Source organism: Homo sapiens, chromosome 14, assembly GCF_000001405.40.
Source record: "Homo sapiens chromosome 14, GRCh38.p14 Primary Assembly".
NCBI lineage: Eukaryota > Metazoa > Chordata > Mammalia > Primates > Hominidae > Homo > Homo sapiens.
In genome coordinates, this window is record NC_000014.9 from 20,437,570 (window position 1) to 20,463,753 (window position 26,184).

The following is a 26,184-nucleotide window of genomic DNA, read 5'->3' on the forward strand; positions in this document are numbered from 1 at the left end:
AAAGGGCTCATGTGGAGGGCGGGGTAGGGTGGGAAGTGGGCTGACCTGCACAGCACCCCCTCCTACTTTCAGAGTTGTCTCCATTTCCCCATTTGTGGCCTGGGTACCCCTGGCAACTCTGAGTAGCTAGCATTCCCTGGGTGAGCCTAGCCAGCAGGTGCACTCCCCAAAATGGTTCGACTGAGAGGCAGTTTATGGTTATCCTGGCCAGCAAATGGGGAGATAGTGTCCAGGCTCTGCACCCTGTTTCCCAGTTCAGACATTTCGAATGCCTCTCATGTCCTCCCCAGAGCAAGACAATGTGGCCAGCATCTTGGCCCCCAACCAGGAGTTGGAGGAACTGCAATCTGGTGGAGACATACCCCGAGCCAGCCTCTGTTCACCAACTGCTTACAAGGATGAGGACACTGGACCCTGCTACGAGTTCTATGCCAACTCCGTAGTCCTGGGATGGCTCCATACAGCTTGGTAAGACCCAGGCCCCACAGTGAACTCCTGAAGGTAGGATAACATCTGCCTGTGGGCTACCACCACCCTTCATGTAGCTCTGGGACTGCCCTCCAGGTCCATTAGCTGTCCTCCTGGTTGCAGACGCGCTGGCTAGCAAGGGGTCTTGGCATTTCAGTTATGTATGTGCTGTCCCAGCCAAGAAATAGTGCCACGTCCACCTCGAGAGGAAACCCACACCCAGCCACACTCCCAAGATGATCTGGAGAATTCTGGGGCCAAAATCGGCAAGGCCCCAGTGCACTTCAGCTGGGTCATAGGAGTCATGGTAATGGATTGGCGCTCATGGTTCCCTAAGTCTGGGGATCTAGGCAGGCGAGAACTCTTTGCTCCAGGGGAGTTTTTGGGAGGTACCTCTGAAGAAGGGGGCAAGGGGTGGGACTCACACTGGAGACTGCAACCCCTCCCTTACCACCCCGCTCCCCAGATTTGCTGTATGCTCAATATCTGGGGCATCATTCTCTACCTGCAGCTGCCTTGGATCGCTGCTCAGGCAGGCACAGGTATGAGCTCAGAGCTCTCCTGGGCAGTAGGAAGGGATGTGCATGTATGAATAAATTCCCATCCTCACCCCAGGGCTCACATGGCTCATCATCCTGTTCTTGGCCTCAGTCATACTGTCACTGGATTGTCTATCTCAGCCATCTCCAGCAACGGCAAAATCAAGGCTGGTGAGTCTGTAGTGACTCCCGCTCCTCCCTTCATGTTTCCCCATCCCTCATATCTGTTAATGAATTGTATGGTGTTCTTCGATGATCACATTTGGTCATTTCCTCACTCCCCCAACCCCTGCCACACAAACATTTTCATTTCCCCTTTTGGTACTGGTGGTACCTAGATAGCCCTACTGCTTTGGGATGGGGTTTTCTTCCCATGAAGAAATGTGTATCCTCAATCTCATTTCTAGGCTCCTGTATGATTCAACGTGCTTCCGAAAATAGGACTGACATGGGTGTGCAGAATGGGAGCCGCCTGGGCGCAAAGTGCCAGTATGGCTGGGATTTCAGCAGTTGTCGAGAGCAAGGGTCCTGCCTCTGTGGGCTCTCTAATCACTATGAGGTGAGTGAACCAGAGCGGAAGTGTAGAGAGAGAAACCTTGCCCATTGCCTGGCATAGCATAGATGTTTAAGTTGATTAATTTGGGGCAAAACCTTCAAAGATGCAGATAAATTTTAATAAGTCTGGGAAAACTAGGTGAAAATACGGGTGGAATGCATTACTTTGGAAAGGCATTGATTTTTGCCTCTGTCTGCCCTTTTCCTCAGACCATGAACATGGTGTCTGCCTTTAGCCCTCTGATGTCTGCTGGAATCTTGAGAGCCATTCTGTTCTGTACCCTTTCCTGCTTTGTTTCAGCCCCTAATATCTTCCAGGCTAGTTGAGATCTTAGCAAGAGGCTTGCAAGAGAAAGGAAAGAATGTTAGTAGACACGGTCATCCCAAGTGTATAATTTTTGAGGAGGGGCAAAAGACGGCTCAGTTCTCAGCAACTGGGAGTTAGAAGGTAACTTTGGGAGATGGAGATGACTGTGGCTGGCTAATGTTTAAAGAGATAATCCAAGCCCACATAGCAACATTCAAAGTCTGCCTGTAAATCAAGGGAAAGTATGGGGAAGGTGTCACTCTTTTTTTTTTTTTGAGACACAGTCTCACTTTGTCACCCAGGCTGGAGTGCAATGGCATGGTCTCGGCTCACTGCAACCTCCGCCTCCCAGGTTCAAGTGATTCTCTCGCCTCAGCCTCCCAAGTACAGGCACGTGCCACCACATCCAGTTAATTTTTATATTTTTAGTAGAGATGGGGTTTCACTATGTTGGCCAGGTTGTTCTCGAACTCCTGACCTTGTGATTCACCCGCCTTAGCCTTCCAAAGTGCTGGGATTACAGGCGTGAGCCCCCAGGCCTGGCCCGGTGTCACTCATCTATCTACCTCCCCACTCTCAGTTTTTCCCATCCCTCATTCCCAGGGATCTTACCACCCCCTACTCCCTCTACTCCTATCCTTTCTGCCTCTGACCCCTAAACTCCCTTGACTTCTGTCTATGCTTCCCACTCTCCTGCCTCTTTAGAGGGAGAGGGCTCTCATTCTCCTACTTCCTGGGACCCTCCCCTATTGATCACCAAGACCTCTTGCAGCAGCTGTGCCAGGATAAACCATACACAATCACTGGCTTTTTTGGGGGGAAAGGCCATGGCAAGAACCACGAGCCTCTGTGGGGCTATCTGCTCACCTTCCTCACTGCTGTAGGTTTCATCCTTATCGGTGACTACTCCCCACCCCACCCTCCACACTGGGCTCTATTAATCACCATTCCTCTCAGGCCCTTCCCAGCCCTACCTCTGGCTTCTAGGAGCTGATCCTAAAACCTCTTTTCTATCTCTCTTTTCCTGAAAGTGGACGAAAAATGTCTCCTAACCTTGCACTGCTAGGGGTGGTATGTGTGTGGGGGTGGAGTGAGGAGTAAGAAGGGAATAGAGAGAATGGAGAAAACCATAAAATGATGTCCTGGACTTCTAGACCTGCATCTTATGACACTAGTGTGGAGACTCACTCCTGACCTTTCATCTCCCCCAAAGCCGAGCTGAGTATCATTGCCCCCACCATCGCCAACTTCCTCCTCTGTTCCTGTGCCCTCAACTTTGGCTGTCTCTACGCCTCCCTTACCTGGTTGTCTGGTTAGTGTGGGCAGGTGTTCAGGTAAGCTCTAGGGCTGGAAAGACCTGGGGAGTTGGGAGAGCATCCTTGCGGTACATGAGTGGGTGGTGCTGGGGCTAAGACAAGGGCTTACATTTGCTGTCCCCTGCAGGCTGGCGCCTTTCCTTCTGCAGGTAAAGTCCCTGGGTCTCTCTCCTGGGCTCTCTGCTCTGCCTGCTCATCACATTCCTCCTCACATGGCGGGCAACACTGATTACTGTGTTGCTTACCCTTCTGCTGTTATATGATCTACAAAACCTGGTGAGTGAGTAGGCGGGTGTGCAGGGAGTCAGGAAGTGAGTTACAACAGGAGGCTGGCCCCTAGAAGAAGCCCAGAACTACGAACAGTGTTTCCTCTTCTACCTCACCATTGATGCACCACCCCTTTCTCTGCACAGTTGTGAACTGGGGCTCTTCAGCCCAGGCAGACACCTACCAAATGGCGCTGTCCTACTCAGTGAGCCTCACCAATGTGTAAGATCACATTAAGAACTTCCAGTCAGGAAGTCTGTAGATGAGAGATTGAAAACGGTGGCCTATGGACGGAATGTTGCCTGGAAATGAGTTTTTTGATTGCACAGCATTTACAATTTTTAAAATAAACTACCAACGTTTAAGATCCAGGCATCTGCTAATCCTGGGCCTCCAACCCACATGACACAGTTAGCTGGGGCTGAGTAGCTCCTGTCCCATGGGACAAGGCAGGTGCTCTCCAGTTTGCCACAGTTCCCACTTGGTCCACTTTATTCTTTAATACTACATGACTGGTTCTTGCAAACTTTTGGCTTTTTTGGGAAAGGCCATGGCAAGAACCATGAACCTCTGCAGGGTTATCTGCTCAGACACAGAAGGAAACTAGCTTCCTGAAATCTGGGCGGGGTAGTGGAGAAAAAGGAAGCCTTCTTGTCACCTCTCATCCAACATACCATATCCCCTTCTTTCCTCATTGCTTCTCCTTTCAGGTCTCATGTTTGAACCAACTGAAGTCCAATGTGCTGGTCTTGGGATATAAGCAAAATTGGGAGAAAGGGCCTGTATCTGCCATGGAGTACTACATAGGCATTCTAGTGCGAATGTGAGATAGAGAAGGGTAAGATGGACATAGAAATGGTCAGGAACTAGAAAGAAGAGGAAATATAATCGTGGTGAAGCCCTTGTTCCCAACAGCTGCCCAGCAGTGCCTGTGTCCCCAGGAAAGAGACCCCCACCCCTTCATCTCTTCCTCCTATATCTCTTTTTCTCTCCTCTCCATAAAGTGATGACTTTGACTACAACTATGGCATAGGCCTCATAAGGATGCCAGGAGGGTTAAGCCCGGCTACTCAACACCAAGCTCAAGGTGAGTGAAAAGAGGTGGGCCTAAGAGAAGGATGTGGTGTGGGAGGTATAGAAATTGGCTCTCAAAGACAGTCTGGGAGGCAAATGAACTCATCTAGAGTTACCAAGACCTAAGACTGAATAGAATTGGGTACCAGGATGCGAGAGAAATGAATTTTGCTTGAGCTTTAGTTCTCCTGAAATTTTCAGGGTGGGGGAAAACTTTAAAGGTATCTTCTAAATTCAGGTGGGAGAAATTTGGATCAAAAGATACAACATAGCAGGGTAAGCTGGAGTGTGGTCAGGAAGGGCTATGGCCCAATTCTAGAGAAGGGTTTCTGGCACTACCCCAATTCTAATAATATTACACATCTTATCAGTTAAATTTTGGGCATCCTTAGCAAAAAGATAACATTATTTTGTGTTATACCCCCACTTTTCCCAGTACACCCAGCATATTTGGATGTCATAGGGATGGATACTTAGCAGGCAGGAGACCAATTCTAAAACATGTCCTGTTTTTAGGAATAACAGAGTTGTAGAGCGGGTTAGAGAAGCAGACACCAAGGAAAATAAAAAGGAAATGCGGTTAGTCAATGCGGAGAGAAGCCACATGACGTTTCTCTAGGATAGCAATAATTCTCATAGGGGAGGAGAGGTATTATACTGAATTAGGAGCAACTGCTCAGCTGGAAAGGAGTTTGTCTCATTCTTTTCTTCTCTTTTCTCGGGCAGCATCCTTATTCCAGCAGCCTCAATGTTCCAATCCAAGCAAGGCCGGAGGGCAGTGGACGTGTACTGGCTCGGTGATGATGAAGGTAGGGACTCCATGGCTCCCCAGGAAGTCCCAAGTTCTCCAAGTTCCAGGGAGAATAGGAGAGGGAAGATAGTGACATATAAACCAGAAAGGACTAGAAAATGAACTCTGCATTTACCAAGTACCCAATACTCTCCTCCCACCTCAGAGGACAACTGTGGTGTTTAAAGGCCAACAGAAAAGCCCGTGTTGCTGGAGCAGCGCAAACAAGGAATTGAGTAGCAGATCAAAGTGGTAGGCAGGGAAGGGCAGAGTGGATCACAGAGGGTCTCACAGGCCTTTAAATAGACTGGCCAGCCGCCCTGTCCGGGAGGGAGGTGGGGGGCGCCTCTGCCTGGCCGCCCCTTCTGGGAAGTGAGGAGCCCCTCTGCCCGGCCGCCACCCGGTCTGGGAGGTGTACCCAACAGCTCATTGAGAACGGGCCATGATGACGATGGCGGTTTTGTCAAATAGAAAAGTGGGAAATGTGGGGAAAAGATAGAGAAATCGGATTGTTGCTGTGTCTGTGTAGAAAGAAGTAGACATGGGAGACTCCATTTTGTTCTGTACTAAGAAAAATTCTTCTGCCTTGGGATGCTGTTAATCTATAACCTTACCCCCAACCCCGTGCTCTCTGAAACATGTGCTGTGTCCACTCAGGGTTAAATGGATTAAGGGCGGTGCAAGATGTGTTTTGTTAAACAGATGCTTGAAGGCAGCATGCTGGTTAAGAGTCATCACCACTCCCTAATCTCAAGTACCCAGGGGCACAAACACTGCGGAAGGCGGCAGGGCCCTCTGCCTAGGAAAACCAGAGACCTTTGTTCACATGTTTATCTGCTGACCTTCCCTCCACTATTGTCCTATGACCCTGCCAAATCCCCCTCTCCGAGAAACACCCAAGAATGATCAATAAATACTAAAAAAAAATAAATAAAAAGACTCTGGTTTTTCTTTTGATGTAAGAAAGCACTGAAGGTTTTGAGCAGAAGAGTAACATGATCTGGCTTCCACGCTAACACTATTCACTCTGGCTGCTATGTGGAGAATTGACTCTAAGTTGGCAATGGGGAAAGGAGAAGGAGCAGCTACTGCAATAATCTTGAAGACACATAATTCTGGCTTGATCTACAGTGGCAGCAGTGGAAGTGAGGAGAAATGGAATTCTGGATGTATTTTGAAGGTAGAGCCAAGAGGATTTGATTAATTGGAGAAGAAAGAAAACTGACAAAGATACTTTGACATGAACAACTAGAATGGAGTTGTCGTTGACAGAAATAAGAAAGACTACAGGACTAAGTTGGGGAAAGAATAAGTGCAATTTTGAATATGTTAAATTTGAGACGCCTATTAAGCATCCAAGTGGAGGTGCCAATGAGCAGCTAGGTATTTGGGATAGAAGTCCAGGTTGGAACTATAACTGGGAGTAACCCCCATCAAAATGATTTTAATGTATACAACTAGATGAAGTCACTACAGGTGTATGTGTAAAGAGAGCAGTCTGAGGACTAAACTCTGTGGAGATGAGGAGAAACTAGCAAAGGAGATTAAGAAAGGGCAGTCAGTAAGCTAGGAGGCAGACCAGAGAATGCATCCTAAAGCCAAGTAAGGAAACTTTTCAAAGAGGGAGTGTCAAATGCTGCTGATAGCTTCTGAGGATGAAGAATACGCCATTAGATTTAGCTATGTGCAGGTCATCAGTGACTGTGATAAGAATAGTTTTGGTGGAGATTTAATAGGGAACTGGTGGAGAGAAATTGAAGACAAGTCTTTCTAAGTTTTGCTGTAAAGTGGAACAGAAAAATGGGAAGCAGCTGGAAGGGCAAATGGGGACAAGCAGGCATTATTTGTAAAATGAGGAAAACAGTGGCATATTTGTGGACGGCAGGATTCAGGAGAGAAGGAAATACTGACTCTCCAGGAAAAGAGGGAGAATTATCCCTTTTTTTGAGAAAGAGTCTTGCTCTGTCACTCAGGCTGGCATGCAGTGGCACAATCTTGGCTCACTGCAACCTCCGCCTCCTGGGTTCAAGCGATTCTCGTGCCCAAGTAGTTGGGATTACAGGCATGCAACATCATGCCAGCTGATTTTTTGTATTTTTAGTAGAGGGGTTTCACCATTGCTGGTCAGGCTGGTCTTGAACTCCTGGCCTCAAGTGATCCACCCGCCTTGGCCTCCCAGTGCTGGGATTACAGGGGTGAGCCACTGCAACCAGCCCTGACTTCTAATCAGTAAAATATCCTCCTATCGACGGTGACAATCCAGTGTCCTCTGAGAAGCAAAATCAGCTCTGGTTGAGAACCACTGGTTTATGGTAACAGGAGGAAGGCAGAGTACATGGGTACAGATACTGGAAGATGGTTAGTTTCAGGGGCAAAAGCTTGTAAATGTATACTGATTGTTTCTATTTTCTTACTGAAATAGGAACTAAGGTAAGAGTCAGAATAGGGGGAGATGTTAAGAGATTTGAGGGGTCAGAAGGTATGAAACAGTCACTAGAAAAGAGGGCAAGTGAAAGGACTAGAGAGATGGCATATTTCTGGGTGGCATAAAGGACCCATTTTAGTGTCATGGTCGTAAGTTTGAAGTAAGATCAGTCAGCATGGCTATTTTTTACTAGCCCTTTCAGCTGCATGGGTCTAAAGTAGGTGATGAGTTGAATATGACAAAAGCAAAAGAGGGGAAGGGAAATGAGGTGGATTATGGGAATTTAGCTGAAGGAGGGAAATAAAAATACGTGGGGGATAAAATCTGCAGAAAGGAAGTATGATCAATGGACCGTAGGTCCTGGTGAAGGGATGAACTGTTGGATTTAGCATACTAAAGAAAATGAACTGGAAGAACAGGAGGTGGTGGTAGTCGAGAGTGGGACGTCTGAAACTGAGATGTGGAGGATCTGCAGCTCCAGAACATGACCAAGGAAATAAGTGGCTGAAGCGGGTGTTAGTATGATCTACCTGAATACTGAAATAAGATTTATGACAAACGTGGTGTTCGTATGGTAGTTTCTTTCAAAGCAGAAGGGTACTAGGGATGAGGGATAATGGTCTGGAAACAGTATGAGGACACGTGCACCACCTCCAGGCCCAGTGGGACACTGGGTGTGGAAGGGAAAATGCCACCACTACTGAGGTGGTAGGAGAAGCAGAGTCCTCATAAGAAACCAAGTCTGAAGAGCATAAATGTGAAGGGAACGTTCAGAGAAGAGGTTGAGGACACAGAGAATTTGACAAATGACTGGCCATCAGTTCCAGAGGGCACAGTGGAAGAGCTTCTAGAGTTGGAAAAGGTAGGTAGATGGAGACAAAACAGAGTGGAGATACATGGTTATTAAGTGTAAAAGATGAGATGACTCAGTAGTTTAGGACTAATTGTGATGATTGATATCAACATCAATAAGATTAAGGGTATGAGATTCGTTCTGTTGTTTGTGGTACGGAGGGATGTGCATCTGCGGGCATTCCTCAAGCCTGCCGATGGATGTGCATGTAGGAGAAAGTATACGGAGTAGAGGCAGTTTTAGAGTTACAAGTTAGACCAATCTCCAGGCTGTTTGTTTGTTTGTTTTTAAGAGACAAGGTTTTGTTCTGTCACTCAGGCTGGAATGCAGTGGCTCAATCACAGCTCACTGCAACCTCAAACTCCTGGGCTCAAGCTATCTTCCCGCCTCAGCCTCCCTTGGAGCTGGGACTACAGATGTGCGCCACCATGCCCAGATAATTTTTACATTTTTCAAATAGATGGTGTCTTGCTATTTGCCCAGGCTGGGCTCAAACTCCTGGGCTCAAGGGATCCTCCTGACTTGGCCTCCCACAGCACTGGGATAACAGGTGTGAGCCTCCAGGCTATTTTGAGAGAAGTCTTGCACACCTACTTCAAAGAATTTAAATGAGAGAATGAATGTAAAGCAGTTAGCACGGGACCCGATGCTATAATAATAGTTATGATACTACTATTGTTGCCAGGCACAATGGCATCCTTACTCAGGAGGCTGAGGTGGTAAGACTGCTTGAGCCCAGTTCGAGACCAGCCTGGGAAACACAGCAAGATTCCGTTTCTTAAAAAAAAAAAAAAAGATACCTCATTCTTGGTTCCACAGCAGCAAGCTCCAACAAGAATTTATCCAGCACCAAATCTACATTGGTCCTGAACAACACAATCCAATCACCAACATACAAAACCAAAAAACCAAAAATATTTTATTGCTGAGTCATCCTGGGGTTCCATAAAGGACCCCAAGCCTTGCTTGGAGTCTATAGCTTTGCTAGGACTCCCATGACATCAGGATAGAGATTGAGGCACGGGGTCCTTTGGGTTCCGATTAAGGAACTATCTACTCTGATTCTGTTGATCTTATTAGTCCCTCCAGGTCACCTCTACTTCATCTGTCCGATACCTGTGGAAAAACAGAAGAAACATGGTGGAGAGCGAGCCCTTAACATCCTTCATTCTTCTCTGCCCTCATGTTCCTGGACTCTTCCCTGCTGTTTTTGTCTATGTCCCAATAATCTACCCTCACCAAGAGGTGAATCACTCACCTCTGTGTAACCCCAGAATCACTGAGTGGGGTCCTGTGTCCAGCCCGAAACATCTCCCAGCCAGCCTGGGCTATCATCGCTCCATTGTCAATACAGAATCTGGGATGCAAGAGAGATGAAAATTGGGATCTAAGGGTGGAAAATCACTATAACAGGAGAAGTAAAAAAGAAACCAAAGGGAAAGTGTCTTTACCTCTCATCTGTAGCAAAAAGCCGGGCTCCACGTTCCTGGCACATTGTTGCCATCATCTCCTGTAGCCTCACATTACCTACAAAGAGGCAGGGAACAGGATTAGCTTAGTTTTAGCCATCTCTTCATGGTCCAGCAGAACACGTCATGTGCACTCACTTAGAACAATGACATAGGGGATTAGGGGCAAGGATTGGGAAGCCTACTCCAAACGCTTAATGATTTAGAGTACCAGGAGGAAGACGCATAGTGTTAAGAATAGGAAAGAGGAACACTTTTCAATAATACATACACCCCACTCCTCCCACAATGAGGGCCTCCTGGGAGCCACAATGTGCCATGGCTCGCTCTGTGATCTCTACCAGCATTGCAAACACAGTTTCCTGTCAGGGACAGATAAGGAGAAAATATTAGAGGGGCATCCCAGATTAGTTCTGCTCTACAATATAAAACCTTCAGCCCCAACTTTCTGTCCCAGTTTTTTACTGCATTACCTGCAGGGAGAAACACAGATCCTCAGGAGTACACTCGCCTGTGGCCAGCATCCGATGGGCTACATCCTACAATTAAAGGGAAAAACAAAAGAATCAACAAATCATGGTTTTGGGATTACACGAGAGCAAAAATTAATGCATTCGGAGGGTCATCATGTTTCACCACAATTCAAGTTACCAGCACATCCTGTACCACATTCCCTTCACTGGCATCATGGCATAGAATGAGCAGCTTTCATTTAAGATGCAATCATTACTTTTTGAATACTTGTCCTGACATCTCTCACCCCTTACTTATCCTGCTTAATTTTTCACCTGTACTCATCATCATCTGGCACTTCATTATTTTCCTCTTTCTTATCTCCCCCGCCCCCCATTTAGAATCTAAGCTCCATGTAGACAGGGATTTTTGTTTTGCTCCATGCTGCATCTCTACTATCTAGAACAGCATGTGGCACACAGAGATATTCAATGAATACCTTCTAAATGAATTTACCCAGCACATGATATGGACCAGTACTGTGCTACATGAATATACTGAGCTATACGAAATATAATCGTAAGTAAAACAGATATGCTTCATTTAAAAAGCATGAAAGTGCCCGTCTCATCACCTCTCACACTCACCTCAATGAAAGACAGGATCCCTGAGAATGAGACGTCCATCCCCTTTACAGTGTATGGCAGCTCAACTAGCTTCTTGCCTCTATGTGGGAATAAGCGTACGAGGCACTAAGCCTACAGTCAGCTGGCTTCTCACCCTCCAAAGCCCGTCCCAAATTTTGTTAATATATACCGTATATGGGGAAATCCCTGAAGCCCCAGCAGCCAGCCTGCTTCCACCTTATGTCCCCTTACCGCTTTGCCATCTGTTCAATGTTGTATCCTGGACTTGGGTCGTTAGAAATCTAGCAGAAGAAAAAAATAAGGAAGGAGGGAATGGAAGAGGATGAAATCAGATATGCAGGAAGCATAAGAAGCTCATTTACTATTTCCTCCCTCCACCTCCATGGCTTCCCAAAAATTCACCCACATTTTATGTTCTCTGCAGCCCCACTGGCTTACCTTCAGCACTCGAGCAAAACGATCCAGACAATTACCCACTGCAATATCGATGGTTTCCCCAAAGATACGGTAACGATGTTCCGAGTATGCAATCACCTAAGGGTGATGAGGAAGTCCATGAAACCCCAAGTCTGTAAAGAGGATTATTTGGCTTTGGGAGAAAAACATAGCAGAGGATCAACATGACCACCAGGGCTTCCAATAAGAAGTGGAAGAAAGGTGTTTCCCAAATGGTGAATGGGTAGTTTTTACAGCTCTGATTTGAGAAGAAATCTGTATACCCTGAGGATTCCAGGAACAGATTCCTAGACAGTGTAGGTTCAGGCAGAAATAAATTGTCATTTCAAATACATTGGTTTTCCGGCTTAGAAGTTCCTAATATATCCCTTAAATGCAGTCTTGATAGTAGGTAACCGGCTTTTCTGCTTGGAGGCAGAGAACATGAATCCTTCTAAATTATGACACAGTGGCAGTGGTAATTTTTTTTTGAGACAGGGTCTCGCTCTGTCTCCCAGGCTGGAGTGGAGTGGTGTGATCATAGCTCACTGTAGCCTCCACCTCCTAGGCTCAAAGGATCCTCCCACCTCAGCTTCCTGAGTAGCTGGGCTACCATGTGTGGCTTATTTTTATATTTTTGTAGAGATGGGGGTCTCACTATGTTGCCCAGCCTGGTCTCAAACTCCTGGTCTCAAGCAATCTACCTGCCTCAGCCTCTCAAAGTGCTGGGATTATAGGTGTGAACCACCGTATGCAGCTGGGCAGTGGTATTTAGAACCAAGAAGCAGAGCTGAAGAACTCAAAAATCTCATATGGAGTCAGACTAATGGCCCAGCCAAGTCAGCAATGGCAATTCACTTAAGGCCATTTTTCTTTTCTTTTTTTTTTTTTTCTGAGACAGAGTCTTGTTCTGTCGCCTAGGCTGGAGTGCAATGGCGTGATCTCAGCTCACTGCAACCTCTGCCTCCCAGGTTCAAGCAATTCTCCTGCCTCAGCCTCCCAAGCAGCTGGAATTACAGGCACCCACCACCACTTTTTTGTATTAAGGCCGTTCTTCATATGTGACCAACTTTTAGCACAGAGAATATCTGTCCCTTACTGACACATATTCTGCAGACTTATAACACCGAGGGCTTCCTACGAACCTTAAGAAGTCCCTTTCCCTTCCCAGTGCTGTTAGGGATTTCTTCCCTTTCTGATACAGATCTTAATCTGCTGTCAAAAAGACAGTAACAAAGGCGAAGGAAAAATCCTGCCTTTCTGCTTCTGCTATCCACTCCTCTCCACCTAATCACCCTCCCTGTTTCTTACACCTAAGCAAACATTAAAAGAGAAGAGGAAGACAAAACCGTCACTGCTCCTTTCATCAACTCTTGTAGCCTCCATTATACTTTCCACAACCCAAGTCTCTGACCTTGTATGTCATCCTTCAGGCCTCAACCAACTACTTGCCCTCTACCTGCTGAAGTTTCTGCATCATTTTCATGGGAAACATGTGCCTCATCTTCTCGACACAACCCTTTCATGAGCTGGGGACAATGCTGAACTATTTCTAATGATAATCAAGTGTTCTGTTGGAAAAGAATCCAATCCCAACCTTAAAAAGGTCATATAAGGTAACCCAAACAACTTTAGCTTCACCTATAAATTTAAAATACCTTCTGGCCGGGCATGGTGGCTCACGCCTGTAATCCCAGCACTTAGGGAGGCCGAGGCAGGTGGATCACCTGAGGTCAGGAGTTCAAGACCAGCCTGACCAACAGGGTGAAATCCCGTCTCTACTAAAAACACAAAAAATTAGCCAGGTATGGTGGCGGGTGCCTGTAATCCCAGCTACTCGGGAGTAGAGAAGAATAGTTTGGACCCGGGAGGCAGAGGTTGCAATGAGCCAAGGTTGCATCATTGCACTCCAACCTGGACAATAAGAGCGAAACTCCATCTCAAATAAATAAATAAATAAATAAGATAAAATAAAATACCTTCTATAATTTACAAAGTATTTTTTAAAGTTATTTATATTTCTAAACTCTTAGAATAACAAAGTCTACATAATCATTCCCAGTAATATAAAAACAAAACATGTACTTGCCCCAAAATAATAAATCAGGTAGTGTCCTTTAGTTGTTTTTTTTTGTTTTTTGTTTGTTTGTTTGTTTGAGACGGAGTTTTGCTCTTGTTGCCCAGGCTGGAATGCAATGGTGCGATCTCGGTTCACCGCAACTTCCGCCTCCTGGGTTCAAGTGATTCTCCTGCCCAGCCTCCGGAGTTGCTAGGATTACAGGCACCTGCCACCACATCAAATTAATTTTTGTTATTTTTAGTACAGATGGGGTTTTGCCACGTTGGCCAGGCTGGGCTCAAACTCCTGACCTCAGATGATCCACCCGCCTCGACCTCCCAAAGTGCTGGAATTACAGGCATGAGTTGCCATACCCAGCAACTGTTAGTTTCAATTGCTAAGATTTATAGAAAAAATAAGCTTCAAAATAATGCAAGAGCTTTCAGATATTCATTATTTTGAAGATTTCAATCCTTTTCAATCCCATTCATTCCTTTCCTGAAGTAGAAATTCCTAATCTTTATAATCAGATATAAAGTCTGATAATGATAAGCCATCTAATGTTCTGATCATGCTGCCAAAATTTGCAATGTTACAAACTCTGTTGGGGGTTTTCTGGTCTACAGTATTTTAGGTTCAGATAAGTCCATCTTTGTTCCTGACATTCCCATGACTCAGATAGAACAAAGAAAATACTGGTTCAGTGCCTCAGAAATTGAGATGGAGTGGGTAGAGCCCTCTAAATACCTGCGTATTTCCTCCACTCACATACAACACGGTTGGGCTGGTGGCTCCAGTGATGAGGCGGCCCATCTCAATGTGGCCTATACAGTGGTTCACACCCACCAATGGCTTATTCCACAGTTGGGCCACAGTACGGGCCACAACAGCCACAGAAACCAGTGGGGCACCCATGCCAGGGCCTAGGGAGATAGAAATGGAAGTTATAATCCTAGAGATTGGAAAAAAACAATAGTGGGGGACATAAGGGATGTGAGGTGGGGTAGGGGTAGTGATGGTGGCAGAGGTAAGGTGTTGGCTATTTTGACCTAGCCAGGTTGCAGGTATATTCCTCCATCGTTGACCACTCTCCCAGCCATACCCTTGGTGTATGCAATGCAGTCGATATCCTGGGAGGTTAATCCAGACTCTGTTAGTGCCTCCTGCAGCAGGTCTAGGATAACAGCTCGGTGATGCCTGGCTGTATCACCTGGAAGGAATCCTAGAAAATGAACATAGGTCAGAGATCACAGGGATTTTCTGTAGCAAAGGTAGGTAGGAAGTTAAAGAAAGCAACAGGAGTTTTAGTGATGTAGTAAGAGTCCTTTCACTTTCCCCAAGCATCCTATCTTCCACATTTTCACATCTACTCTTTCCGGCTTCTATATAGGCTATTCAACTTTCAGAAATGCTCTTCTTCTTACCCTACTCAGCCTTCAGGTCTCAATGCAAGTAGTATCTACCTCATACCCTTTCGTGATCTTTTTTTTTTTTTTTTCTTTTGAGACAGTCTCAGCTCTGTCACCCAGGCTGGAGTGCAGTGGCACGATCTCGGCTCACTGCAACCTCCACCTCCTGAGTTCAAGAGATTCTTCTGCCTCAGCCTCCTGAGTAGCTGGGACTACAGGCGACACCACCACGCTCAGCTAACTTTTGTATTTTTAGTAGAGACGGGGTTTCACCATATTGGCCAGGCTGGTCTCGAACTCCTGACCTCGTGATCCGTCTGCCTCGGCCTCCCAAAGTGCTGGGATTACAGGCCTGAGCCACCGTGCCTGGCCTTTGGTGATCTTCTTTCTCTGTGACCCTACAGAACTCTATGCATGATGATGTCATTTATTTAACATAACAATTACAGCATTATAATTTTCTGTGGTTTGCTCAGCTTAATCATGAATATCTCAAAGCATTGAGTATTTTATTTATCTTTGTATTCCCAGTGCCCAAGTGCCCAGAGGAGTGAATGCTAAACATACATATATATTTCTAGTGAGTATCTGTCACAACATCACCTGTTCAGGGAGGCTTTTCAGATACATGCAAGTCAGCTGCCCTCTCCTATGTATGCAAGTGTTTGAGGGGAGAGTAGCAAGATATAATAGCTTATTTAAAATATCAATTAAAAGTTGTAATGTGTTTTGTACTTTTTTTTTTTTTGAGACAGAGTTTCACTCTTGATGCCCAGGCTGGAGTGCAATGGCACCATCTCGGCTCACTGCAACCTCTGTCTCCCGGGTTCACGCAATTCTCCTGCCTCAGCCTCCCAAGTAGCTGGGTTTACAGGCATGCGCCACCACGCCCAGTTAATTTTTTGTATTTTTTAGTGGAAACATGGTTTCTCCATGTTGGTCAGGCTGGTCTCGAACCCCGACCTCAGGTGATCTGCCTGCCTTGGCCTCCCAAAGTGCTGGGATTACAGGCGTGAGCCACCACGCCCAGCCGTGTTTGGTACTTTCATCTAATCTTCAAGACCTAATGATACAGGTATTATTCCCATTTTAAAAACAAAGACCAGGCCCGAGCGGTGGCTCATGCCTGTAATTTCCACACTTTGGGAGGCTGGGGTGGGCGGATCATCTGAGGTCAGGAGTTCGAGACCAGCTTGGCCTGGTGGAAACCCCGACTCTACTAAAAATACAAAATTTAGCTGGATGTGGTGGCGCACACCTATAGTCCTAGCTACTTGGGAGGCTGGGGTAGAAGAATCGCTTGAACCTGGAAGGCAGAGATTGCAGTGAGCCGAGATCGTGCCACTGCATTCCAGCCTGGGCGACAGAGCAAGACTCTGTCTCAAAAAAATAAAATAAAATAAAAAATAAAGACCAAATGTCCAAAACAAAAATATTTAATATGAATATAGCAAAGCCAGCCAGTTCTGTCTGACATGTAAGCCGGGAGTCTTTCCACTCTCATCTCTCTACTCATCCTAGAATATTTCAAAAAATAATTTTTTTTTAAAAAGGGAGTGTATATTCAGGGCAACTGGAATCTATACTCCTGCTAAGCGTTTTTTAAACAGAATATTTCGAGTCCATCTCTATTATACTGTTTATCATGCTGTAGTATAAACATCTATTTATATGTCTGACTCCACAGCAGTATAACATCTATTTCTGAATACTTAGCACATAAAATGCGCTCAGTAAAAGGTAAATGAACTCATCAGATCCACGTCCAAGTGCCTGTAACTCTTCTAGTCATCAGCCTTGTGACGTTAATAATGTCACATAATTTCAATGAGACTCGGATCGAAAGCTGCACCTCACTAGTATTTAGGAAGATGGAAGGCTGATTCTGTGCGGGGAAGTGCGCGGAAAACTCTTAAGTCCCCTACTCACCAACCTGTGCCAGGAGGCGTGACGTAAGTCCGCCGCGGGTTCGCCAGCACCTTGCCATCCCGCACCACGCCCACGCCAATCTTATTGGCGCTGCCTTCAAAACCCAGCACCGCCGGCATGGCGGAGGCTGGGAGAAAACGCCGACAGGACTCCTGGCAATGTCAGGAGCTGTGGAGGTCCTCACTAGTCCGCGCTGGGCCGCAGCTTTCCGGAGCGCAGAGGAAGCTGGCCAGCCTGCAGATAGCACTGGGAAAGACACCGCGGAACTCCCGCGAGCGGAGACCCGCCAAGGCCCCTCCAGGGACCTGTCTTCCTAACTGCCAGGGACGCCGAGCCAACTCTGTGCCTTACATTCGTATCCGTTTTCCTATCTCTTTCCCGTGGTCCAGCCCAGCCTTCTCCACTGTTTTTTTCCCTCTTGCACATAGTTAGAATCTTAAGTCAGTGTCACACAATGTGCTGTGCATCTGGCACAACGATAAACAGCCCGAGGGAGGGTTGGGGACCTAAGTGTCCTAGAGAATTAGAGGAGGGAGGCGAGGCTAAGCGTCTCCGTCACGTGGTGTCAGACAGACCAATCACGCGCATTCTTCGGCCACGACAAGCGCGCCTCTGATCACGTGACCAGGTCCGCTACCCACGTGGGGGCTCAGCGTGCACCCTTCTTTGTGCTCGGGTTAGGAGGAGCTAGGCTGCCATCGGGCCGGTGCAGATACGGGGTTGCTCTTTTGCTCATAAGAGGGGCTTCGCTGGCAGTCTGAACGGCAAGCTTGAGTCAGGACCCTTAATTAAGATCCTCAATTGGCTGGAGGGCAGATCTCGCGAGTAGGGTACAAGGCACTATGAAATGATCTAGTTTCGTGGGTGAGGGGCTGAAGGGCCTATGATGCACGGAGGCGGGGAAAGGATTTAGAGATAACGTGGTTTGAAAGGCGGGACCTGGTGCGGGGACGCTCTTGGGAGGAGTCTTCTCCCCAGCCTTAGCTGGTTTCATGATTTCTTTGCGTCTGTAGGCAACGCGGTAAAAATATTGCTTCGGTGGGTGACGCGGTACAGCTGCCCAAGGGCGTTCGTAACGGGAATGCCGAAGCGTGGGAAAAAGGGAGCGGTGGCGGAAGACGGGGATGAGCTCAGGACAGGTAAGGGAATGAAATCAGCCCTTCTTCCTAGAAGCTGCGGCGGGGGTGTTTGTCATTCCCTTGATGTACGGTAAGTACGGGCCGACTCATTTTTGCAGGGGTTTGTGAAGAAGTCGCAGGAACCGTAGGCTTTCGTTGGGTCTATAGTTAACGCCGGATCGCAGTTGGAAACCACCAGCTTTTTGTCAGTATATATTACTCATTTTATAGAGCCAGAGGCCAAGAAGAGTAAGACGGCCGCAAAGAAAAATGACAAAGAGGCAGCAGGAGAGGGCCCAGCCCTGTATGAGGACCCCCCAGATCAGAAAACCTCACCCAGTGGCAAACCTGCCACACTCAAGATCTGCTCTTGGAATGTGGATGGGCTTCGAGCCTGGATTAAGAAGAAAGGATTAGATGTGAGTGGAATTTGAGGGAAAGAGACATTTTTTAGTATTGAATGGTCTTAGGGTTTAGTCACCCCTTTTCTCCGTTTAGCCTTCAGGCTGTTTTATTTTTCTCCTGCCCGTAGTTTTCTGTGGGGCTTCCCCAGTCTTGCCAGTTGTATTTCCTAAATGTCTGTTCCTTCACTTCCATTGCCATTTTCTTTTTTAGTGTTCTCTCCTCTTCCCAGAATGTTGCAAAAACCTCTTCACTATACTTCCTCCATTTTATCTTCCTGCATTGCATTCCATATGAAGCATGTCCTCCATTCCATTAACCATAGCTTAAAAATCTTAGCTTGCTATCCACTGCCTATAGAAAAAACACATCTCCTTGGCATAGCATGTAAGACTTTCTTACCTCTCTATATTTGTTTTCATTTATCTAGCTTAGAATTGTTTGAATATTGTGCTGCTTGACTCGAACTCCTTAGGCCAAGAGACTGTTTAACCCGTGCGTATCTATGACTTAGCATATAGATTATTCAATAAATGTTCTGCTGAATTGATAATACGTTTTCCACCTTTCTTTTCACTTACAGTGGGTAAAGGAAGAAGCCCCAGATATACTGTGCCTTCAAGAGACCAAATGTTCAGAGAACAAACTACCAGCTGAACTTCAGGAGCTGCCTGGACTCTCTCATCAATACTGGTCAGCTCCTTCGGACAAGGAAGGGTACAGTGGCGTGGGCCTGCTTTCCCGCCAGTGCCCACTCAAAGTTTCTTACGGCATAGGTGAGACCCTATTGATGCCTAATGCCTGAACTCTTCAAAACCAATTGCTAATTCTCTATCTCTGCCCCACCTCTTGATTGCTTTCCCTTTTCTTATAGTTTTTTATGCTAATTCTGTTTCATTTCTATAGGCGATGAGGAGCATGATCAGGAAGGCCGGGTGATTGTGGCTGAATTTGACTCGTTTGTGCTGGTAACAGCATATGTACCTAATGCAGGCCGAGGTCTGGTACGACTGGAGTACCGGCAGCGCTGGGATGAAGCCTTTCGCAAGTTCCTGAAGGGCCTGGCTTCCCGAAAGCCCCTTGTGCTGTGTGGAGACCTCAATGTGGCACATGAAGAAATTGACCTTCGCAACCCCAAGGGGAACAAAAAGAATGCTGGCTTCACGCCACAAGAGCGCCAAGGCTTCGGGGAATTACTGCAGGCTGTGCCACTGGCTGACAGCTTTAGGCACCTCTACCCCAACACACCCTATGCCTACACCTTTTGGACTTATATGATGAATGCTCGATCCAAGAATGTTGGTTGGCGCCTTGATTACTTTTTGTTGTCCCACTCTCTGTTACCTGCATTGTGTGACAGCAAGATCCGTTCCAAGGCCCTCGGCAGTGATCACTGTCCTATCACCCTATACCTAGCACTGTGACACCACCCCTAAATCACTTTGAGCCTGGGAAATAAGCCCCCTCAACTACCATTCCTTCTTTAAACACTCTTCAGAGAAATCTGCATTCTATTTCTCATGTATAAAACTAGGAATCCTCCAACCAGGCTCCTGTGATAGAGTTCTTTTAAGCCCAAGATTTTTTATTTGAGGGTTTTTTGTTTTTTAAAAAAAAATTGAACAAAGACTACTAATGACTTTGTTTGAATTATCCACATGAAAATAAAGAGCCATAGTTTCAGCCTTGCTGTCTTCGTGTCTTACCCCTTCGTGGGGCTACACATTCTCTTCCTCATATTTTCATGCACACAAGTTAACAACTGAAAAAGCGTAGAGTCATGACCTTATTTATTTACAAGCACAGGATAAGTCCCTAACCTCCCCCAAAGACTGAGCAACCCTACCCAGCCCAGTTAAATACTGCAACTGGGGGGGTAAAAAAGGTCGGGAGGAGGAATTAAGGGAAATACAGGAATAGGGGAACATATCCCACATTAAATAGTTATATACACATCAGTTCCTGTGGTTCTGTACAGAGCAGCGGCTGACCCCACCCCCACAGGACACAATGTGGGGAGAGGAGACTGAGGGTACTGAGGCCAGAGCCAACCTCTGGTGAAGTGCAATAGCAGCAGCAAAGTCCTAATGGTGCACAAGAGGGAGGGGAACCCCCAGGGCTACCCACCCCCACCCTGCCCTGGAATGTGTAAGGGACAGGAATGGCTCTCAGGGAGCACACAGGAAGGACAAGGCTGGAACCGTCTTCAGGGCCCAGTTTTAAGGGCAACGTTTTGCCTACTTCACCCTAGACACAGCAACCCTTGGAGGAAAGCAGATGGTCAGCAGTGCTCTTATCTGCCCCTCCAAACCTAAGTGAGGGCCTGGTTCCTTCCTACCTCTCCCCAGGGAAAAGGAAGGCAGCTGCTTGGCTTCCTTCTAGAAGCCCCGGGAGCCTTTAACTACCCCAGCTCCCTTCGTAGTGTCACTGTCCCCACCAGGGAGGGGCCAGGCACAGTCTGTGGGTCATCAGGCTCAGGAGAAGTTCTGGACAGGGTGGCTGACCTTCATACAGGCCCAATAAAGAGCCCGGCCCAAACACAGCACAGCCAACAGGATGACAAATGCCCAGGCTGCATAGATGCCTCCATATCGCCGTGCATGCTTCCATGTGCCAAACTGATGAAGATAAGGAGGGAGAAGAAAAGAAAGATGGGGTTAATGTTGGTCTCCACTACCTCCTATTAGTTCTAAGAACAGTAATAACTCACGCTTCAGTCCTTGTTCCTTATCCACATGTAGCCACCCTCAGGGACCTTCTTAAAGGCAGAGCTGATCAGCTTCCTTCCCTTAGGCGTAACATACTCATCCCATCCCACACTGTATCTCAGTTTTTCTTAATATCTGACAACTGAGCCAGGTTTGAAAAATAGCAACTCTTAAATTAAGAATTTCACTGTCCTATCCTCATCCTACAGAGAAAGGAAGGCTGTTTTTCACTCTTGTAGTAGTAATAAAGTCTGTTTGATCAGCCACTTTGCACTTTAGCTCATCCATATCTTAAAACAAAACAAACTAGTCCCCCAAGTTTCTTCCACTTTTTTTTAGGGTAGCAGTTTCCCAAATCTTAGCCTATGGAGATGAGGCTGCAGAATGAAAGAGGTTGGGGCAAGGGTACTCACGGCAAGGCCAGTGGCAGTGACTGCCAAAAGCAAGCCAAGCAAGAAGCAGCAGATACATCTCTTACGTGGGTATCTGCGCCCAATAGATGACCTGTGGGGAGGCAAATAGAAATGGATGCTTTCTATGGCCTTGTAGTTTTTACTCCATACATCAATTACCAGCTCAATCCCTAATCACTTACACTTTCCTGCAGTGAGGACAACGTGCCAAAGTGCGGTCTGTGAACTCTGTCCACTATGGAGAAAGAAAACAAAAATAATAGCACAAGCAGGGTCTCCCTCAATGAGAACCTTGGGGTGGGGATGCAGAACATGTTCCCATAGGACAGACCTTTCAGGGGTCATTACCATTACTCTAAGAAATATACTCGAAATGACTCTTAGTCTCCTTTCCCCTCCCCTTCCCAATACCCCTTCCTCACCAGAAAAGTATTCTTGCAATGTCCACAGATAACCCTGACACCCATGGGTTGGGGTTCTGGACTCAGAGGTCCGGGATGCACAGGCCCCAGGTTGATGATTCTTTTGCTATACAAAAGAAAAAGACTTGTATTTTCAAACTTGTGTTTGAAAAATTTTTAATCCTAAAAATCTTCACAGTCCCTGTTCCACATCCCCCACTCCCTGTCTATTAAGTCACTCGACTTCTCTGTACTTAAGATACTCTGTCCCCCAACTGTATACCCTCAAGAATCCTTGAGAAAGAAAGAGCACTGTTTAAACTTCAGGTCCCCAATTCCCCTCCGACCTCAGGATAACACACCCAGTCCCCAAGGCTCTCTATTCTCCGAAACGACATCATTTCATCTCAATATTTTTATTGAGAAACGAGAAAGACAGCTATAACATTCCTGAGGCACATGCTTCAAAGCCTTTTCTCCTAAATAAACACTAGGCTCTCTCACCTTTACATTCTCTGTATACGCTCATCCTTTTTTGACTTTCCAGTTCCCCACTTAGGCCCTTCCCCACCTTATGCCTCTTACCAGTAGGGCCGAGGGCATGCAATCCGTTGGGATGTCACTTTGCAGATAAGGAGACAGTTACAGGGGCATCGAACATATTTTTTCCCTGGGGGTGCATTCTTGATTGGCTAGAGAATAATAGGGTCATCAGCAAGCAAACCTCTAATCCCAATCCCCTCCACTTCCCTCCAAAAACACTTTATGAGATCAGAAAAATAAGGTGCTAACCAGGAAGGAGAAATAAAAGAAAGACTATATCATGAGATTTGCAAATAGGAACTAGGCTAGGTGTAAAAGTGAGAGAAAGTGAACATTAGCTTTGGTGAGTGGCTTCTGGGGAAATGGCTGTGTGAGACACCTGGAACTGAAACCTGGGTATCATCAAAAGCACTTGGCTAATAGCCGGAAGGTCAGGGTCTAGAACCAAGACATCAGAAAGAGGATCCAGGAAACAGGGCCCATTTCATAGATATGTGTAACTCACGGTGGCTTCATTGCAGACACCACATTTGACTACATGCTGATGCATCTTGCCTTCCACGTTGATGAGAGATTGGCAGACTCGGCAGGTGATCATAGGGGCACTCCCACTGTCCGGGCTAGTTAAGGGTGAATAGGGGGGTGGGTCCTCCCCAGGCAACACGGCTGGATGCCCCTCGGGAAACGGGGGAAATGCTGGAGAGGAAGCAAATAGAAGGGCTGGGATCACTTACACCCCCACTGATGCTCCACGGTGGTAGGGAAGTCCTTCTGATCTTCAACCCTCTGACCAAGCTCGGAGGGCTTCTCATAATTGGCACTTCTATCAGGTTGCTCAGAACCCCCTTCCGTCCCTAGGCTGTGGTCGCGATTACGGAGGGAAGGAAGCCTCGCCCAGTCACAGGTGCAGCAGTCCCGCACCTGGCGACTGGGACCCGCCTCCGCCCTCGGTCCCGCCCCCTCCCCGGCTTTCAGAGTACCCCGGGGAGCACCTCGGACCCGCCCCGGCTTACCCTGGGGCGGGGCATGTTTACCGGCTCCGTACGGTGGTGCGGAGGGGGTCAGGCCTCCCCCGGGCCCAGCCCCACTCCCGCCGGGCCCCACTAAACCGTTGCCGCCCGCGCCACCGTCGATGGGCTCAGACAGCAGCGGGGAACGCTCTCCATCTGCCGCCATGGCCGCCACCGCCGCCTCCCGCTCAGGTCGGCGATCCGGCTCCCTTCGCCTCTGCCGTCGCCGCAGCCACCGCCACCGCCGCCACCGCCACCGCCGCTACCGGGTCCCCAGGGCGCCTGCGCGCCGCGCGCCCAGCTCACTCCGCAACCAGTGGCCTGCCCCGCCCCGTTCCGTCTAGCAGCACGTGATAGGCTATCCCCGCCCGGGTCATGCTATTATTCGCGTAGATAAACCAATTCCTGGTCCTGTGAAGGCAGCTCTCCTTTTCCATTGGGGAGCGACGCACAAACGTCAACTGTCACATGACCTGCCAGATGCTGCTGGGCTTGCAAAACCTGCACGTGACTAGAGGTTCTGCAAGCTATTGGGAGCGACGCCCATCGCGCTACCTCCAGACCAGGAGGTAGGGCTAGGCTGCGTCTGCTCAACTGGTCACGTGTTTCTGGAAGCTGCACGGTCCCTGTTGCTCTGCTCCTCATTGGTTCAAAGACACCACTAAAACACTTTTCTCCGGCTTTGCGTTGTAGCTGGTTTCCTATTGGCTGGTGACTTTACTTCTTTCGTCCTGTGATCCTAGCGGCGCAACTGCATTGGCCCGAACTTAGCGCCAGAACATGGGGGGCGTGGCTTATGCATTTTAAAGGAGGCTGGGCGGGTGCAATAAAGGAGTGCGGAAGCTTGGGATCTTCTGAGCGGGGAGAAAATGGACGGTGGGGAACAGTAGACAAAGTTAGCTGTTCTACTCAAAGAAGTACCTTTAAAAAGTCAGAGTAATGAGGTACCAGAAGGAAATGGATTAAAAAGTTAAGATTATCACTCCAGCCTTTGTCGCTAGAGTCACTTTCAGGACAGGACACAAGACTGGGTTTTCCTGGAAGCTGTCCTTACAGAGCCCCGTCTTTCCCCATTGCTGATCAAATTGTTAAATTATCTTTTCATTAGTGTCTCCACTACTAGAAGATTTCATCGTTTTACTAAAAAAAAAAAAAAAAAAATTCAATAGAGATGGGGTCTTGCCTATGCTGGACTCAAACTCCTGAGTTTGATCTCCTGCCTAAGCCTTCCCAGTAGCTGGGACTACAGGGACAAGCCACCGTGCCTTTACTCAGTTTTATGACCACCAACCTTTAACATACGCACAAGTTTGTAGATTGGATTAATCAAATACAAGGTTATTTTCGTCACCTTATTTGACAGATGGGACAGTCTTTAGGCCTGTCTCAACTTTGCTTCCAGCAAAGGGGCAGTGCCTCCTCCCCTACCTGAAGTCTCGTGTGGTCTTTATGGGCGCCTGAACCACACCTGGATTTTTTCCCAAGTCATAGCCCAAACTGGGACTGCTTTAAATATGGGAAGCAACAAGGAATTGATAAAAACAATAAACCCCGAGGAGGTCCATTATCAGTTTGGCTAGCAGACTCTCCACTAAGAAAGGAAGTGCATCAAAGAAAGTACAGCCAGCCCCAAATATGTAATAACAAAGGAACTGCAGATGTCCCAGCACTTGGCTGCTACAGGGGCTGGAGACTTCACCTAGGTCCTGATTTTTTTAGACAGGGTTTTCTCAGGCCAACTTCTACTTGGAAGCTAGTAACCTTCGACCAGTTAGATAAGAGCCCCTAACAGACACTTAAAGAACTAAGGAAGCTCCAGATACAAAATAGGGAAGAGGTTGTAGCTCCATAGAGGGAGGCCAGTCTGCTGCTTTTTCTGCTGTTTGTGGCACACAGATGCTCAAGCATTGTCTGGGGTTGGAGTAGGATCCATTATTTGCGCCCTAGTTACACATATATTCCAAAAACTGTCCTAAAAATATTTTTTAAATATCTACACTTTGTGAAAGACACTCCTTAAAAAAGCTTACACTCTGGGTAGGGAGACAGAATAGTGTAAACATTGACAGTATAACATATCAGGTCAGGAGTGGTGGCTCATGCCTGTAATCCCGGTGTTTTGGGAGGCTGAGGTGGAGGATTGCTTGAGCCCAGGAGTTCAAGGTTACAATGAGCCATGATCTAAACCTGGGCAACAGAGCAAGATCGTGTCTCAAAAAAAAAAAAAAAAAAAAGAAAATCAGCACTAGTATTTTATTACATGGAAAAATATCAATACTAGAAATTCATGATACAGCACATGCTTCATAATAAAAGAATTAAACAATGTAATTCAAGTTCAAGAAAAGAAGAGATCACTTCTAGCTAGAGCAGCCAGAGAAAACTTCTAAAACATAAAGAAAAATGAGTATTGTGCATGGATAACTAGGATCTGAGCTCTGTGTTGTTGAGTAGATCAATAGGCAGAAAAATGCAAAAAGTAATCATAATATTTGGAACTTGCTCACAGTTAATAAAGCATTTTTTTTTTTGAGACAGAGTCTCACTCTGTCGCCAGGCTGGAGTGCAGTGGTGTGATCTCTGCCCACCTCCCG

General features: G+C 47.1%; 3 protein-coding genes and 1 pseudogene across 9 annotated transcripts, besides 34 other annotated features; 2 read left to right on the plus strand and 2 right to left on the minus strand.

Moving 5' to 3' along the window:
• Nucleotides 935-1,880, plus strand: LOC100422510 (solute carrier family 12 member 3 pseudogene; annotated as a pseudogene).
• On the minus strand, nt 8,832-17,243 carry OSGEP (O-sialoglycoprotein endopeptidase). The gene is made up of 11 exons (NM_017807.4): nt 17,000-17,243; nt 14,760-14,879; nt 14,405-14,580; nt 11,602-11,697; nt 11,395-11,444; nt 11,164-11,242; nt 10,537-10,602; nt 10,335-10,425; nt 10,046-10,121; nt 9,853-9,951; nt 8,832-9,710 (listed from the first exon to the last, which is right to left on the minus strand). Exons 1-11 carry the CDS (start codon nt 17,112-17,114, stop codon nt 9,671-9,673), a joined length of 1,008 nt encoding a protein of 335 aa, NP_060277.1. The 5' UTR covers nt 17,115-17,243; the 3' UTR covers nt 8,832-9,670.
• Nucleotides 14,075-15,893: a silencer, noted in NCBI's record as "1.9 kb HindIII/SmaI fragment". NCBI's record gives its function as "negatively regulates APEX1 expression" and the evidence as "EXISTENCE:reporter gene assay evidence [ECO:0000049][PMID:8942627]".
• Nucleotides 14,075-17,920: a biological region, named in NCBI's record as "OSGEP/APEX1 bi-directional promoter region". NCBI's record gives its function as "regulatory_interactions: APEX1 | OSGEP".
• Nucleotides 14,762-14,776: a nucleotide motif, noted in NCBI's record as "nucleotide motif; nCaRE-A". NCBI's record gives the evidence for it as "COORDINATES:sequence alignment evidence [ECO:0000200][PMID:8942627]".
• Nucleotides 15,156-15,178: a protein binding site, noted in NCBI's record as "nCaRE-B1". NCBI's record gives the evidence for it as "EXISTENCE:protein binding evidence [ECO:0000024][PMID:8942627]".
• Nucleotides 15,160-15,175: a nucleotide motif, noted in NCBI's record as "nucleotide motif; nCaRE-B1". NCBI's record gives the evidence for it as "COORDINATES:sequence alignment evidence [ECO:0000200][PMID:8942627]".
• Nucleotides 15,160-15,438: a mobile genetic element.
• Nucleotides 15,810-15,834: a protein binding site, noted in NCBI's record as "nCaRE-B2". NCBI's record gives the evidence for it as "EXISTENCE:protein binding evidence [ECO:0000024][PMID:8942627, PMID:11809897]".
• Nucleotides 15,810-15,834: a protein binding site, noted in NCBI's record as "nCaRE-B2". NCBI's record gives the evidence for it as "EXISTENCE:protein binding evidence [ECO:0000024][PMID:11809897]".
• Nucleotides 15,814-15,832: a nucleotide motif, noted in NCBI's record as "nucleotide motif; nCaRE-B2". NCBI's record gives the evidence for it as "COORDINATES:sequence alignment evidence [ECO:0000200][PMID:8942627]".
• Nucleotides 15,814-16,098: a mobile genetic element.
• Nucleotides 17,007-17,027: a protein binding site, noted in NCBI's record as "APE-C". NCBI's record gives its function as "contributes to induction of transcription by hydrogen peroxide" and the evidence as "EXISTENCE:protein binding evidence [ECO:0000024][PMID:10441516]".
• Nucleotides 17,007-17,027: a protein binding site, noted in NCBI's record as "APE-C". NCBI's record gives its function as "contributes to induction of transcription by hydrogen peroxide" and the evidence as "EXISTENCE:protein binding evidence [ECO:0000024][PMID:10441516]".
• Nucleotides 17,156-17,600: a promoter, noted in NCBI's record as "-486 to -42 from OSGEP major translation start site". NCBI's record gives its function as "minimal promoter for OSGEP gene" and the evidence as "EXISTENCE:reporter gene assay evidence [ECO:0000049][PMID:12039036]".
• Nucleotides 17,191-17,280: an enhancer, noted in NCBI's record as "active region_8074". NCBI's record gives its function as "activates an Ori minimal core promoter by ATAC-STARR-seq in GM12878 lymphoblastoid cells {active_cell/tissue: GM12878}" and the evidence as "EXISTENCE:reporter gene assay evidence [ECO:0000049][PMID:35858748]".
• Nucleotides 17,227-17,557: a transcriptional cis regulatory region, noted in NCBI's record as "-141 to -471 from APEX1 transcription start site mapped in PMID:7534297". NCBI's record gives its function as "important for antisense/bidirectional promoter activity" and the evidence as "EXISTENCE:reporter gene assay evidence [ECO:0000049][PMID:9506886]".
• Nucleotides 17,230-17,767: a promoter, noted in NCBI's record as "pCB22 fragment". NCBI's record gives the evidence for it as "EXISTENCE:reporter gene assay evidence [ECO:0000049][PMID:7534297]".
• Nucleotides 17,432-17,766: a promoter, noted in NCBI's record as "-130 to +205 from APEX1 transcription start site mapped in PMID:8086453". NCBI's record gives its function as "minimal core promoter" and the evidence as "EXISTENCE:reporter gene assay evidence [ECO:0000049][PMID:8086453]".
• Nucleotides 17,488-17,643: a transcriptional cis regulatory region, noted in NCBI's record as "-210 to -55 from APEX1 transcription start site mapped in PMID:7534297". NCBI's record gives its function as "required for optimal APEX1 promoter activity" and the evidence as "EXISTENCE:reporter gene assay evidence [ECO:0000049][PMID:7534297]".
• Nucleotides 17,514-17,555: a transcriptional cis regulatory region, noted in NCBI's record as "-184 to -143 from APEX1 transcription start site mapped in PMID:7534297". NCBI's record gives its function as "required for repression of transcription by p53 protein" and the evidence as "EXISTENCE:protein binding evidence [ECO:0000024][PMID:18208837]".
• Nucleotides 17,529-17,550: a protein binding site. NCBI's record gives the evidence for it as "EXISTENCE:nuclease protection assay evidence [ECO:0001106][PMID:7534297]".
• Nucleotides 17,552-17,557: a transcriptional cis regulatory region, noted in NCBI's record as "E box E3". NCBI's record gives its function as "important for stimulation of transcription by microphthalmia-associated transcription factor" and the evidence as "EXISTENCE:reporter gene assay evidence [ECO:0000049][PMID:18971960]".
• Nucleotides 17,568-17,600: a transcriptional cis regulatory region, noted in NCBI's record as "-486 to -454 from OSGEP major translation start site". NCBI's record gives its function as "required for OSGEP promoter activity" and the evidence as "EXISTENCE:reporter gene assay evidence [ECO:0000049][PMID:12039036]".
• Nucleotides 17,570-17,574: a CAAT signal. NCBI's record gives the evidence for it as "COORDINATES:motif similarity evidence [ECO:0000028][PMID:7534297]".
• Nucleotides 17,603-17,763: a protein binding site, noted in NCBI's record as "probe I (-95 to +65)". NCBI's record gives the evidence for it as "EXISTENCE:protein binding evidence [ECO:0000024][PMID:7534297]".
• Nucleotides 17,613-17,618: a transcriptional cis regulatory region, noted in NCBI's record as "E box E2". NCBI's record gives its function as "important for stimulation of transcription by microphthalmia-associated transcription factor" and the evidence as "EXISTENCE:reporter gene assay evidence [ECO:0000049][PMID:18971960]".
• Nucleotides 17,634-17,639: a transcriptional cis regulatory region, noted in NCBI's record as "E box E1". NCBI's record gives its function as "necessary for stimulation of transcription by microphthalmia-associated transcription factor" and the evidence as "EXISTENCE:reporter gene assay evidence [ECO:0000049][PMID:18971960]".
• APEX1 (apurinic/apyrimidinic endodeoxyribonuclease 1) lies at nt 17,657-20,198 on the plus strand. Of its 4 annotated transcripts, none has more exons than NM_001641.4 (5): nt 17,657-17,825; nt 18,009-18,134; nt 18,345-18,532; nt 19,099-19,291; nt 19,422-20,198. In NM_001641.4, exons 2-5 carry the CDS (start codon nt 18,077-18,079, stop codon nt 19,937-19,939), a joined length of 957 nt encoding a protein of 318 aa, NP_001632.2. In that variant the 5' UTR covers nt 17,657-17,825; nt 18,009-18,076; the 3' UTR covers nt 19,940-20,198. The 4 variants fall into 4 exon arrangements, with proteins under 4 accessions (NP_001632.2, NP_001231178.1, NP_542380.1 ...); NM_001244249.2 differs by having other exon boundaries at nt 17,657-17,820; NM_080649.3 differs by having other exon boundaries at nt 17,657-17,769.
• Nucleotides 17,701-17,920: an enhancer, noted in NCBI's record as "active region_8075". NCBI's record gives its function as "activates an Ori minimal core promoter by ATAC-STARR-seq in GM12878 lymphoblastoid cells {active_cell/tissue: GM12878}" and the evidence as "EXISTENCE:reporter gene assay evidence [ECO:0000049][PMID:35858748]".
• Nucleotides 19,521-19,815: a silencer, noted in NCBI's record as "tiled region #9617; K562 Repressive non-DNase unmatched - State 2:TssF". NCBI's record gives its function as "represses a minimal TATA promoter and a strong SV40 promoter by Sharpr-MPRA in K562 cells {active_cell/tissue: K562}" and the evidence as "EXISTENCE:reporter gene assay evidence [ECO:0000049][PMID:27701403]".
• Nucleotides 20,112-23,865, minus strand: PIP4P1 (phosphatidylinositol-4,5-bisphosphate 4-phosphatase 1). 4 transcript variants are annotated; one of them, NM_144568.4, is made up of 7 exons: nt 23,615-23,865; nt 23,086-23,276; nt 22,623-22,729; nt 22,059-22,164; nt 21,819-21,871; nt 21,637-21,727; nt 20,112-21,133 (listed from the first exon to the last, which is right to left on the minus strand). In NM_144568.4, exons 1-7 carry the CDS (start codon nt 23,754-23,756, stop codon nt 20,990-20,992), a joined length of 834 nt encoding a protein of 277 aa, NP_653169.2. In that variant the 5' UTR covers nt 23,757-23,865; the 3' UTR covers nt 20,112-20,989. The 4 variants fall into 4 exon arrangements, with proteins under 4 accessions (NP_653169.2, NP_001094284.1, XP_024305508.1 ...); NM_001100814.3 differs by having other exon boundaries at nt 23,594-23,865; XM_024449740.2 differs by lacking the exon at nt 22,059-22,164.
• Nucleotides 23,185-24,151: an enhancer, noted in NCBI's record as "H3K27ac hESC enhancer chr14:20928913-20929879 (GRCh37/hg19 assembly coordinates)". NCBI's record gives its function as "activates a minimal SCP1, AML or CMV promoter by ChIP-STARR-seq in primed H9 embryonic stem cells {active_cell/tissue: H9 hESC(primed)}" and the evidence as "EXISTENCE:reporter gene assay evidence [ECO:0000049][PMID:30033119]".
• Nucleotides 23,320-23,489: a silencer, noted in NCBI's record as "silent region_5564". NCBI's record gives its function as "represses an Ori minimal core promoter by ATAC-STARR-seq in GM12878 lymphoblastoid cells {active_cell/tissue: GM12878}" and the evidence as "EXISTENCE:reporter gene assay evidence [ECO:0000049][PMID:35858748]".
• Nucleotides 23,550-23,959: a silencer, noted in NCBI's record as "silent region_5565". NCBI's record gives its function as "represses an Ori minimal core promoter by ATAC-STARR-seq in GM12878 lymphoblastoid cells {active_cell/tissue: GM12878}" and the evidence as "EXISTENCE:reporter gene assay evidence [ECO:0000049][PMID:35858748]".
• Nucleotides 24,080-24,149: an enhancer, noted in NCBI's record as "active region_8076". NCBI's record gives its function as "activates an Ori minimal core promoter by ATAC-STARR-seq in GM12878 lymphoblastoid cells {active_cell/tissue: GM12878}" and the evidence as "EXISTENCE:reporter gene assay evidence [ECO:0000049][PMID:35858748]".
• Nucleotides 24,152-25,117: an enhancer, noted in NCBI's record as "H3K27ac hESC enhancer chr14:20929880-20930845 (GRCh37/hg19 assembly coordinates)". NCBI's record gives its function as "activates a minimal SCP1, AML or CMV promoter by ChIP-STARR-seq in naive H9 embryonic stem cells {active_cell/tissue: H9 hESC(naive)}" and the evidence as "EXISTENCE:reporter gene assay evidence [ECO:0000049][PMID:30033119]".
• Nucleotides 24,450-24,529: an enhancer, noted in NCBI's record as "active region_8077". NCBI's record gives its function as "activates an Ori minimal core promoter by ATAC-STARR-seq in GM12878 lymphoblastoid cells {active_cell/tissue: GM12878}" and the evidence as "EXISTENCE:reporter gene assay evidence [ECO:0000049][PMID:35858748]".

Coding starts and splice junctions, on each gene's coding strand:
- OSGEP (NM_017807.4), bottom strand. CDS start 17,114: ATGCCGGCGGTGCTGGGTTTTGAAGGCAGCGCCAATAAGATTGGCGTG. Junction 11,243..11,394: donor ATTGAACAGATGGCAAAGCG/GTAAGGGGACAT, acceptor ATTCCCACATAG/AGGCAAGAAGCTAGTTGAGC. Junction 9,711..9,852: donor GATTCTGGGGTTACACAGAG/GTGAGTGATTCA, acceptor GTTTTTCCACAG/GTATCGGACAGATGAAGTAG.
- APEX1 (NM_001641.4), top strand. CDS start 18,077: ATGCCGAAGCGTGGGAAAAAGGGAGCGGTGGCGGAAGACGGGGATGAG. Junction 18,135..18,344: donor CGGGGATGAGCTCAGGACAG/GTAAGGGAATGA, acceptor CTCATTTTATAG/AGCCAGAGGCCAAGAAGAGT. Junction 19,292..19,421: donor CAAAGTTTCTTACGGCATAG/GTGAGACCCTAT, acceptor TCATTTCTATAG/GCGATGAGGAGCATGATCAG.
- PIP4P1 (NM_001100814.3), bottom strand. CDS start 23,756: ATGGCGGCAGATGGAGAGCGTTCCCCGCTGCTGTCTGAGCCCATCGAC. Junction 22,730..23,085: donor GTGTCTGCAATGAAGCCACC/GTGAGTTACACA, acceptor ATTATTCTCTAG/CCAATCAAGAATGCACCCCC. Junction 21,728..21,818: donor TGTCCTCACTGCAGGAAAGT/GTAAGTGATTAG, acceptor GCCTCCCCACAG/GTCATCTATTGGGCGCAGAT.